The sequence below is a fragment of the Homo sapiens genome, chromosome 22, assembly GCF_000001405.40.
Source record: "Homo sapiens chromosome 22, GRCh38.p14 Primary Assembly".
In the NCBI taxonomy this organism is placed as follows: domain Eukaryota; kingdom Metazoa; phylum Chordata; class Mammalia; order Primates; family Hominidae; genus Homo; species Homo sapiens.
The window spans coordinates 23,772,481-23,784,501 of NC_000022.11; the positions used below are offsets into that span (position 1 = coordinate 23,772,481).

The window sequence follows — 12,021 nt, forward strand, 5'->3', positions numbered from 1 at the left end:
ACCAAGGAGACCCAGTGGGATGCGCCTTCCAAAGGTGGGGGTACGGATGGGACCCATGAAACCTGACTCCTCTCAGACTCTAGCCAAGTCTAAGACTTTGGACGGCCACCACCCAGAGGAGAAACTGAGACCCAGAGCGGCACGGGTTGGCCAGGGTCACCCAGCACCAGATAGGGACTTTGCCAGCCCCGGGGCAGGACCCTGTCTCCGGCCCTCGACCCCGCTGGGCCGTACCCTCCCCGTTCACCTCCCCCACCCGGGCCGCGGCTGCTAGGAGAGTTCAGAACAAAAGGCGGCGGGGGGCGGGGCCGAGGCGGGCCGGGGGTGGGGCGGAAGCTATAAGGGGCGGCGGCCCGGAGCGGCCCAGCAAGCCCAGCAGCCCCGGGGCGGATGGCTCCGGCCGCCTGGCTCCGCAGCGCGGCCGCGCGCGCCCTCCTGCCCCCGATGCTGCTGCTGCTGCTCCAGCCGCCGCCGCTGCTGGCCCGGGCTCTGCCGCCGGTGAGTGCCCGCCACTCGCCGGCCGCTCCTCGCTGAGGGGGCGCCGGGCACGCGGGCTGGGCCCAGCGGCGGATCCGGACCGAAGGGGGCGCCCCGGGTGGCCTCCAGCGCCCGGTACCCGAAACGCTTTCTGGTTCCCTCTAGGCGTGATAGACAGCGAGCTTGCAGTCCCTGGGGGTGTGAAGGGGAGCCGGCGCCGGCATCGTTCGGGCTGGTGGGACGGGACTCCACGCTGGACTCACGCTTGCTCCCAGCGTGGGGACCTGCCTCTCGCGCTCCAGCCGCGGGTGCTGGAGTGTGCGTTGAAGGAAGCAGCAGAGGGAGTGGTAACAGGGCCCCCTATTCATCGCAGGGACAAAGCCGAGCAGATCCCAGGCAGGTGTCAGCCTGCAGGTGTGTGGCCGCAGTTAGTACACCTCCAGGTGTGCGGTGGGATGAAGGATAAAGGGAGAAGGGAGGGCAGCGCTGTGCTGCGGGAAATGGGGTCTAAGCCTGGAGATGTCCCCCGCGGGCACCTGCCGGCAGCAGTTTTGGGAGGCTTGGAGCCAGGAGAACATGAGTATGAAATAGTATGAGTGCAGTGTGTGTGTGACTGAGAGGTGGCTGTCAGAAAGAAGCGGGGAGAGAAAGGAAAGGGAGAAAATGTGTGCTCAGGAGAGGAGAAGAAAGCCCAGGTAAGAGAGGACAGCAGAGTGAGGAGAGGAGGGACTGTCATGGAGTGTGTGTGACAGCTTGCATGTGTCCCAAAAGCTGCCCCTTCCCTGGGGCGCTTCCAGGCACCAGTCACAGGGCCTGGGGCCAGAGCCTGGGCCACTCCACTCCACAGCGGAGGCATCCAGACAGCTCGGGCAGGGAAGGGAGCAGGAGGGTGTGACAGGCAGGAGTCTCAGGACTGGCCTGGTGAGGAGGCAGGCCTGGCCAGGCTGGGACCCTCTGTCCAGCCACTCTGGCTCTGCTCAGGGCAGCCTTGTCCTGTGCTGGCTATGGGAGCAGAAAGGGATGGGATGGGTGGGGTAGAGTGAATGGGGGGCATCTCAGTCTGGAGTCTTGCCTCCTTCCCAGCCCCTCTTGGTTCCTAGGACTTGGGACAGAGTCAGGAATCACTGTGGGTAGACATTGAACCACAGGTCTGGAAATTGGAGAGATCTGGGTTTGAACCATGTGACCCTGGGTGAATCCTGCCATGCCTCAGAATCTCACCCACTCCATCTCTAATGGGAGTGCAGGTGGGAGGGGGCAATGGTGCCTACTGCTGTGTCCACTGTTGAGCAATGAGGTGATGCCAGGCTCACTAGAAACACTGTCACCTGTAGCTGCCACTTTGACGCTTGTGCATGGTCAGTGCTGGAGCTGGGGGCCAGCTTGGGGTGGGGTCTGAGCTGGACTGTGGTCTGTCACTCTGCAAACACGCAGGGAGCATGTGGGGTCACCTCTGATGTGTTTATCCCCCGGCTGCCTTCAGCAAGGCTGGGAGAGCTCTGTAAATATTTATCCAGCCCAGTTCCCAGCTTTCAGGGTTGATGGAAGCCCTGCAGTCCGATGGATGGGACGAAGCTACCGTCCCTCCTGGAGCCAGCAGCAGAGGGGTGAGAATAGGAAGATTAGGTGGAAGCTTGAGGGAGAAGATATCCCTGCTTGCCACCTGGCTGTGTGAGTTGGGCAGGTTGCTTGACCTCTCTGAGCCTGCATGGTGATGCTCCCGTCTTCCTCCATAGCCTAACAAGTGCCCTCCTCGAAGTCTTGCCTCCCACCGACATCAGAAGGCATAGCTATGATTAATTATACCCACTAGACCAACTGCAAACTGAGGCCCAGAAAGGGGCACAATGAGCCCAGCCTTTCGCAGTGTTTCCTGGCACCCTGGGGTCCTCCCTTATCTCCCCTCTATCTGGTGCCTCCCATTTTCTGGATTGCAAGTTGACCCCAGGGCGGGGTTGACTCCGAGTCTCTAAGCTCTGCCAGGACACTGGGTCAGCTGAGAAATTCCTTGAATGTGTCTGCAGCTGAGGTTTGGTGTCTGGCAGAAGAGGGTGGGGCTGAGTGAGCTAAGAACCCACCACAGGGCAGGCCAAGGGAGGCTACTGGCCAAGACAGAGGGAATGCACTGGAAGCAGAAATGCTTCTTGGGAAAGTGGGTTTTGGAGAAAAGCCAAGAGCTGGGGAGACAGGGGGAAGCCCTGGAGGTGGGAGGCATGAGCCCCAGGTCTAGGTCCAGCTCTTGCATGACTTGCTGTGTGACCCCGGGCAAAGTCCTTGAGCTCTCTGGGCTCTGTCTCATCCTCTGGGAAATGGGGGAGCTGCTTCTTCCTCAAGCTCCCCAGGGGTGTAGATGAGGCCAGTGGTGGCCTGTGTCTACCACCTCACCTCACTGAATCCTGAGAGTCCTGGGAAGGCCAAGCCCACCTGTCTCACAAGTAGCAAGCTGCTTCATGCCGTGCCTTGTAGTTAGGGCATCTGGCCCCAGGCCAGAAAGGACTTGGAAAGATGAAGTGTGGGAGGACAGTGAGGCAGAATGTGTGTCCTATCCCAGCCATGGGGAAACTGAGGCCAAGAGCTCATGGGCTCTAAAAAAATAATGGGCTCTAAAAACAACCTCACTAGCTAGAGGCCTCATTTCTAGCATCTCCTGCTCACTCAGTTTCTAAGAATTTAATGAACAAGACAGGGACAGGGAGAAGAGACCTTGATATGTGGGAGACCCTGCACAAGGCGCTTCTCTTTTCTAGGCCTGAAAGCTCCCTTCTAGCTGCAACTTCTGTTTTACCATTTAAAGCCTGAAGATTTTGTTGGGTAGCTAGAGGGGCGGTGGGTGATGGGAACTGTAGGGACTGGCAAGGGCAGATTCCCAAGCGTGGGAGGGGAGGGCCTACAGGGACAAGGAACAGGGCCAGGTAAGAGGTGCTTTTCTGTGCCAGAGGCTACAGCAGGCATTACAGAAGGATGTCATGTAGCCCTTTGCTGTGGCATCATTCCCATTTGACAGATAGGAAAGTTGAGGCTAAGAGAGGAAGGTGACTTGTCTAGAGTCTCCATGTCATAGAACTAGGCCTTCTGAACCTCAGTGGCTGGCTCTTTTTGTGACACTAAGACTGTCATGATCCAGGGGTTTGGGCATGGACTGGGTGCCTCATGAGGGAAGGACAGGAAGGGACAGTGGAAGGGGTGGGGGCATGCCCGTGGCTCTCCCTCCATGACTGTCTGCACCAGGACTCACTAGAGGGCAGAGGAGAGAAGAGATTTCTGACCATGGGCATAGCAGGGCTGGCAGGCTGGGCTCTGGGTTGTTTGGAGCTCCCAGGGGAGAGCACAGCTCTGCCCTTTCCAGGGAGGGTCTTCATACCCCTGCCAGGCTGGGGAAAGGAATCTGTTTCTCCTGTAAGTCAAGGGGGCAGTGTGGCGAGGAGGAGGAGGCAGGCCCCTCTGGCAGCCCACATCCTCCATGGGAGAACTTGGATATGTAGCATCTCCACCTGCCTGGTGGATATTGGAAGCCCAACGAACCTGCCTGCAAAATGCCCGGGAAATAGCAGGCGCTGAATAATTTGCACCTCACCAAGGTGAGGCCAGCCTGGGTCCCTCCTTCAGGGGAAGGGTAACTCAACCCCTGCAGAGCAGAGCAGAGGTAGCAGGGAGCTGGGTGGGCTGTGAGCACAGACAGTCCGCTGCCTGCCAGCTGTTGTCTGATCAAGCTGCTTAACTCCTCTGGGGCCCATTTCCTCATCCTGGAAATGAGGGTGATGATGGTGGAGTTGGTGAGAGGTTCCATCAGGGGCTAAGAGCAAGTCTGTGGAGCTGTTGCCAAGGTCCTAGCCTGCAACCAGTGCTAAGTACTTTTTTTTTTTTTTTTGAGATGGAGTCTCGCTCTGTCACCCAGGCTGGAGTGCTGTGGCACGATCTCGGCTCACTGCAAGCTCTGCCTCCCAGGTTCACGCCATTCTCCTGCCTCAGCCTCCCGAATAGCTGGGACTACAGGAGCCCGCCACCACGCCTGGCTAATTTTTTGTATTTTTAGTAGAGACGGGGTTTCACCGTGTTAGCCAGGATGGTCTCGATCTCCTGACCTCATGATCCGCCTGCCTCGGCCTCCCAAAGTGCTGGGATTACAGGCGTGAGCCACCAGGCCCGGCCAACCAGTGCTAAGTACTTATTAACAATAAGCCCAGGCCGGGCGCGGTGGCTCACGCCTGTAATCCCAGTACTTTGGGAGGCCGAGGCAGGTGGATCATGAGGTCAGGAGTTCAAGACCAGCCTGGCCAAGATGGATAAACCTCATCTCTACTAAAAATACAAAAATTAGCCAGGCGTGAGGCTGGGTGCGGTGGCGCATGCTTGTAATCCCAGCACTTTGGGAGGCCGAGGCAGGCGGATCACAAGGTCAGGAGATCGAGACCATCCTGGTAACATGGTGAAATCCCGTTTCTACTAAAAATACAAAAAAATTAGCCGGGCATGGCAGCAAGTGCCTGCAGTCCCAGCTACTCAGGAGGCTGAGTCAGGAGCATGGCATGAACCCGGAAGGCGGTGGTTGTAGTGAGCCCAGATCACACCACTGCACTCCAGCCTGGGCGATAGAGCGAGACTCTCTCTCAAAAAAAAAAAAAAAAAAATTAACCAGGCGTGGTGGCAGGCACCTGTAACCCCAGCTACTCGGGAGGCTGAGGCAGAGAATTGCTTGAACCCGGGAGGTGGAGGTTGTAGTGAGCCGAGATCGCGCCACTGCACTCCAGCCTGGGCAACAGAGTGAGACTCCATCTCAAAAAAACAAAACAAAAAACCAATAAGCCCAGAATCGGCCAGAACCCACAACCCAGTGAGACTGCGCTGTGCCAGGTAACCATGCAATAAGCAAGCTCGGAAATGGGGGGAAGCTGCTTCAGGGCCTCACGCCCTAAGTAGTTCCATAGCCTCCGTGTTCAGAAGGCCCCCCTTCATGGTGGGGTGTTCTTGATGCCTCAGCTCTGGGATCAGGAGCAGGGAGCGTTGGGACGCTGATCAGATCCCTGGGGTGTATGGAGCCTGGGAGAGCTGCCAAAGGCTGAGGGTGAGGTGGGGCCTGAGTGGCTGAGCTCCTACCCCAAATATGGCTGTGAGGAGGCTGCAGTTGCCCAGACCAGACAGGTGCTGAGTCTCTCAGCAAGCAGCACAGCTCCATCCCTCTCCTTCAGTGCAGGAAGGACACTTGGCTTCTGTGCGGTGTCCAGAGCCAGGCCTTAGCCTTAGGCCTGAGCCACCAGAGTCCTGGCCTGGCCTTGCCATGCCCTTGCTGGGTGACTTTGCAGGGTCTCCAACCTCTCTGAGCTTCTGCTTTTCTCATGCACAAGAACTGTAACTTCTGCCCTGGAGACTTATAGACAGGTAGCAGGATGTAGCTTAGGTCTGAATCGCCATCTGTGGTCCTGGGGCTTTGGCGAGTGGGGCTGGGCACCTGGTAATTAACTGTCCCCACCCTCCCCGCTTGAAGAAGGCAGGCAGATCACAGATCAGCTCCCACTGTACTCCTAGCCCTGGTGGGGTGTGACCAAAACCACCTCTGCTAGAAGCCAGGCCTCAGTGGCCAGGTGCCTTCCCGGGTGCTGGGCCTGTGCTAGGTGCTGTACATACCTCACCTTGTCCAGTCCACAAGTCAGTGTCACCCCCAGCAGTCAGGTTACACTGACTGAGGCCACACTGCAGGGCTACAGCCGCTCCACACTGGGGAGGAGGTGGGGGAAATCCTGGGCAGGAGAGAGGGCAGATCCTGCTCACATGACAGGGACAGGAGCATGACCCAGGTGTGTCTGAACTTAGCGGACACAGGAAGAAAGGGAGTTGGAAGCAAGTTTCTGTGGGGAGCAGGAGGAGGTTGCCTGGTGTTCCTTCGGAGGAAGCTTTTTGGGGTCCATTCCTGGAGTGTATGGCTCATAGCCAGTCCCAGTGTGCCCCCACCCCCAGACCTCATTGGCCTAAGTAGCTGGAGTAGGTGACAGGCAGCCCAGGGCCCTCCACGATGTGGGGGACAGCTTGATGCCTTGGAACAAGGTGCCAAGAAACCAGAGAGCCAGCCAGATGCCAAAGGGCCCTGCCATGTGCCGGTGCCCTTTCCCTCTCCATTTGCCCAGCCACACAGTGGGCTGGGGTTGCACGTGTGTTTGCTGACAGGCCACATCTCTAACTGTGGGCCATGTGGACCTTAGGCCTGACCAGACCCTCATGTCATCCTCCTGCCTAGGACGCCCACCACCTCCATGCCGAGAGGAGGGGGCCACAGCCCTGGCATGCAGCCCTGCCCAGTAGCCCGGCACCTGCCCCTGCCACGCAGGAAGCCCCCCGGCCTGCCAGCAGCCTCAGGCCTCCCCGCTGTGGCGTGCCCGACCCATCTGATGGGCTGAGTGCCCGCAACCGACAGAAGAGGTTCGTGCTTTCTGGCGGGCGCTGGGAGAAGACGGACCTCACCTACAGGTAGGGGCCTGGGAGCAGGACACTAGGATGCCACCTGTGTGTCCGTGGGTAAGCCAGCTGCCCTCACAGCTGCTGCTTGAGACACAGGCCAGGGTAGATCTTCGTGTCTAACAGACCTGTGTGTCCACTGAACCCCAGGGAGGTCATCTATGGGCAAACCCCCTGAAACCCCAACTTAGACACATACACATATGGAGACCCTCCCTCAGCAGAGGGGCAGAGCCTCCGTCATCATGCAAAGAGTCGCAGCACATGCCTGCGGACGGGTGTTCAGTCACTCAGGCAGCCTTTACAAGAGACCTGTGAGGACCAGGCTCTGGGACTCCACGGTGAATGAGGCAGACACAGCCCCATCCTCTGTGTCAGTCTGAGGTGGGTGTCAGCCATGTCATTGTCCAACTCTACCATCACAACTTGGGCTTCGAGCAGGTGGAGACAGTGGTAAGCGGGGAGAGGCAATAGTGGGCATCTCACTGGGTGACCTGGGAGGACCCTGGGCAGGTGATGGGGAAGCTGAGGCTCACACATCCTGCGGGTGGGGACCCAGCCTGAAGAATGGGCTGGTGTCACACAGCATTGGAGCTGAGACTGGGGTCTTTAGAATTTCCTAGGTGGGGGCCTGGGAACCAACAGGGGCTCAAGGAACCAAGGTGTCCCCACAGTAAGTGGCACTGTCAGGTCTAGGATGGGGGTCTCGGGACCCCTGGTCCTGGTTCTTTCCACTGAATTCAGACACTTGTATTTGCCTAAGTATGAGCAAACCACATACACATGTGCCCATGTGGCCAGGGAGACCAGTGCGCTGAAGCTGAGGCCCAGAGTACACCTGGCCTGTGTCCTGAGTGTTCACACACCCACCAAGCATCCAGGGGCAACTCCTGGTGCCTCAGCCATCGGGGGCTGTCCCTTCCCTGAGGCCCAGGCCCCTCCATCTCCCTCCAGGATCCTTCGGTTCCCATGGCAGTTGGTGCAGGAGCAGGTGCGGCAGACGATGGCAGAGGCCCTAAAGGTATGGAGCGATGTGACGCCACTCACCTTTACTGAGGTGCACGAGGGCCGTGCTGACATCATGATCGACTTCGCCAGGTGAATGGGCGGCCTGGGACCCCTCCGGGAACAGCCTCGCCTGCCAGCAGCCACTGACCCCGCCCCCACCCATCTGTAGGTACTGGCATGGGGACGACCTGCCGTTTGATGGGCCTGGGGGCATCCTGGCCCATGCCTTCTTCCCCAAGACTCACCGAGAAGGGGATGTCCACTTCGACTATGATGAGACCTGGACTATCGGGGATGACCAGGGTATGGGCTGGGGACCCATTTTCCAGATGGGGCAACCGAAGATCATAAAGAATGGGGACTCGCCAAGGTCACTGAGCTGGGGTCTGGAGCTGGATGTCCTGGGCAGGAGGTTCGGGGGTTGCTGAGCCACCTCCCTTTTTCAGGCACAGACCTGCTGCAGGTGGCAGCCCATGAATTTGGCCACGTGCTGGGGCTGCAGCACACAACAGCAGCCAAGGCCCTGATGTCCGCCTTCTACACCTTTCGCTACCCACTGAGTCTCAGCCCAGATGACTGCAGGGGCGTTCAACACCTATATGGCCAGCCCTGGCCCACTGTCACCTCCAGGACCCCAGCCCTGGGCCCCCAGGCTGGGATAGACACCAATGAGATTGCACCGCTGGAGGTGAGGCCCTGCCTGCCAGTCCCCCTACTCCTCTGCTGGCCACTGTGACTGCAGCATATGCCCTCAGCATGTGTCCCTCTCTCCCACCCCAGCCAGACGCCCCGCCAGATGCCTGTGAGGCCTCCTTTGACGCGGTCTCCACCATCCGAGGCGAGCTCTTTTTCTTCAAAGCGGGCTTTGTGTGGCGCCTCCGTGGGGGCCAGCTGCAGCCCGGCTACCCAGCATTGGCCTCTCGCCACTGGCAGGGACTGCCCAGCCCTGTGGACGCTGCCTTCGAGGATGCCCAGGGCCACATTTGGTTCTTCCAAGGTGAGTGGGGGTTGGGGATCTGCTCGAGAGACTTCCCAGAGCCAGGAATGTTATGGCCAAGGGCAGGAACAGACAGATGGATCCTTAGGGACACAGTGGATAGGGAGAGCTGCCCCAAAGCCTGGGGGCCGAGGGAGAGAGAGTGTGGTTTGTTCCTCAGGCACAGGTAGGAGGTTCTCGGAGGTGGCTCTTGAGATAGGAGCAGCGTGGAAGGGATTGCACGGTGGGGCCTCGTGTTGGTGCGTTCAACCCTCAGCCACCCCATGGGGCGGGGTTCTAGAGATGAGGCCTCTGGGGCCCCGAGGCAGTGAAGTGACTCACTGTGAGTGCAGCTGGGAAGAGGCAGGGCAGGGAATTGATCCAGGTCTATCATCCTAGAGCTGGGATTTCCATCCTCAACTGGCAGAGATGAGAGCCTGGAGCATTGCAGATGCCAGGGACTTCACAAATGAAGGCACAGCATGGGAAACCTGCGTGGGTTCCAGGGCAGTCCAGCCTGCAGGGGCCCAGGGAGTGGTCAGTAGGCATTTGTCACAGCCAAATGCCAGTGGAAGGAGCAGCCGCCCAGGCAGCCCTCTACTGATGAGAGTAACCTCACCCGTGCACTAGTTTACAGAGCATTCACTGCCCCAGCTTATCCCAGGCCTCCCGCTTCCCTCTGCGGGTGGGGTGCTGAGCAGGCATTATTGGCCTGCATGTTTTACTGATGAGGAAACTGAGGCTGGGAGAGTCTGTGGTAGGGGTCAAGCAGGTCCACAGTGGCGGGGCATGGCAGTGGTGGCTGGGCAGGTCCTTGCAGCCTTCCCTCTCCGGCAGGTGCTCAGTACTGGGTGTACGACGGTGAAAAGCCAGTCCTGGGCCCCGCACCCCTCACCGAGCTGGGCCTGGTGAGGTTCCCGGTCCATGCTGCCTTGGTCTGGGGTCCCGAGAAGAACAAGATCTACTTCTTCCGAGGCAGGGACTACTGGCGTTTCCACCCCAGCACCCGGCGTGTAGACAGTCCCGTGCCCCGCAGGGCCACTGACTGGAGAGGGGTGCCCTCTGAGATCGACGCTGCCTTCCAGGATGCTGATGGTGCGTTGGGGGTGAGGCAGCTGGTGGGAGGTGGGCACAGCAGCCGCTTCTCCCACCTGGTGGTGGCTGGGCTCCCACATGCCTGCCACAGGAAGTCTGGCTCTTCATCACAGGTCCTTTGTCCAGAGCCATCTGCCCTCCTCTCGGTGGCCGGCTAGTGCTACATTCCATATTGCAGATGAGGAAACTGAGGGTCAGAGAAGTGCAAGGTCTTACCCTGGTTTTTCAGCCACAGCCAGTAGAACAATAAACTGCTGTACACTGAGGGCCAACAATGCTCTAAGCTCCTTACTGGTCTCATCCAGTTCTCAGAACAGCCCTCTGATGTGACACCTGTTGTGAACCCAGTTTCCAGAGGAGCAAACAGAGGCTCAGGCAATGAGGCCCCTAACCTGGACTACCCTGGTGGTCCCTGCTCCTAACCACTGACCCACCCAGCCTCCCACAACCACAGGGGGCTAGAGCCAGTCCAGTGCTCCCTCCCCTGCTAGGCTCCTCTTCTGTGCTCTTTCTCCCACATCAGGACCCACTGGGAGAGCTATCCTAGGGTAGCCTCCAGCTCCAGGACTCCAGGGTGCCCGTCAATAGCCTGGCTAATTTAATAGATGCAGGAGAGAGTGATGTGGAGGGTGGTGGGGGCAACGGGACTTGCTTTCCTGAGAGGTGGGACTCAGGCCTCTGAGGCTCTGGGTACCTGTCAGGCTGGGTATTAGCCCAGCCCAGATTCCGGGGCAGGCAGAAGGGCTCCCTAGAGGGAAGAGAGGTTCTGAAAGGCCGGCCCTGGATCCTGCAGGACTCGAGGAACTCAGCAGTGGCCAAGGGCTTCCCACTCAGCCCTCCCTTAGTGCCCATCCCTGGGCACAGCCTGACAGGCAGGAGTAGGGCCCAGTGTCCGCTCGCCCAGGCTTGACCACCTTCTCTTCTCAGGCTATGCCTACTTCCTGCGCGGCCGCCTCTACTGGAAGTTTGACCCTGTGAAGGTGAAGGCTCTGGAAGGCTTCCCCCGTCTCGTGGGTCCTGACTTCTTTGGCTGTGCCGAGCCTGCCAACACTTTCCTCTGACCATGGCTTGGATGCCCTCAGGGGTGCTGACCCCTGCCAGGCCACGAATATCAGGCTAGAGACCCATGGCCATCTTTGTGGCTGTGGGCACCAGGCATGGGACTGAGCCCATGTCTCCTCAGGGGGATGGGGTGGGGTACAACCACCATGACAACTGCCGGGAGGGCCACGCAGGTCGTGGTCACCTGCCAGCGACTGTCTCAGACTGGGCAGGGAGGCTTTGGCATGACTTAAGAGGAAGGGCAGTCTTGGGCCCGCTATGCAGGTCCTGGCAAACCTGGCTGCCCTGTCTCCATCCCTGTCCCTCAGGGTAGCACCATGGCAGGACTGGGGGAACTGGAGTGTCCTTGCTGTATCCCTGTTGTGAGGTTCCTTCCAGGGGCTGGCACTGAAGCAAGGGTGCTGGGGCCCCATGGCCTTCAGCCCTGGCTGAGCAACTGGGCTGTAGGGCAGGGCCACTTCCTGAGGTCAGGTCTTGGTAGGTGCCTGCATCTGTCTGCCTTCTGGCTGACAATCCTGGAAATCTGTTCTCCAGAATCCAGGCCAAAAAGTTCACAGTCAAATGGGGAGGGGTATTCTTCATGCAGGAGACCCCAGGCCCTGGAGGCTGCAACATACCTCAATCCTGTCCCAGGCCGGATCCTCCTGAAGCCCTTTTCGCAGCACTGCTATCCTCCAAAGCCATTGTAAATGTGTGTACAGTGTGTATAAACCTTCTTCTTCTTTTTTTTTTTTTAAACTGAGGATTGTCATTAAACACAGTTGTTTTCTACCTGCCTGCTTGGTCTCCTTTTGTGAATGTTCAGCCAGGATGGGGAGGCCTGGCCACTGTCCAGCCCTATCCTGGGAGCCAGGGTCGAAGTCCACCACCCCCAAGCCTCTGGCCCTTGGGGCTGGGCACAGTGCTCAGGGCTCCTTCTGCTCCATTTCTACATCACATTTTGCTACAGTGGCTTC

At 59.0% G+C, this 12,021-nt stretch overlaps 1 protein-coding gene across 2 annotated transcripts, besides 1 other annotated feature; it reads left to right on the plus strand.

Annotated features, from left to right (window-relative positions):
* Positions 369 to 11,836, plus strand: MMP11 (matrix metallopeptidase 11). Of its 2 annotated transcripts, none has more exons than NR_133013.2 (8): positions 369 to 498; positions 6,707 to 6,888; positions 7,879 to 8,022; positions 8,102 to 8,235; positions 8,379 to 8,620; positions 8,713 to 8,929; positions 9,888 to 10,003; positions 10,931 to 11,836. NR_133013.2 is itself a non-coding variant. In NM_005940.5 (8 exons), the coding sequence occupies exons 1-8, from the start codon at positions 391 to 393 to the stop codon at positions 11,062 to 11,064; spliced, it is 1,467 nt and encodes a 488-aa protein (NP_005931.2). In that variant the 5' UTR covers positions 369 to 390; the 3' UTR covers positions 11,065 to 11,836. The 2 variants fall into 2 exon arrangements, 1 of the variants encoding a protein (NP_005931.2); NM_005940.5 differs by having other exon boundaries at positions 6,707 to 6,936; positions 9,746 to 10,003.
* Positions 8,167 to 9,165: an enhancer, noted in NCBI's record as "H3K4me1 hESC enhancer chr22:24122834-24123832 (GRCh37/hg19 assembly coordinates)". NCBI's record gives its function as "activates a minimal SCP1, AML or CMV promoter by ChIP-STARR-seq in naive H9 embryonic stem cells {active_cell/tissue: H9 hESC(naive)}" and the evidence as "EXISTENCE:reporter gene assay evidence [ECO:0000049][PMID:30033119]".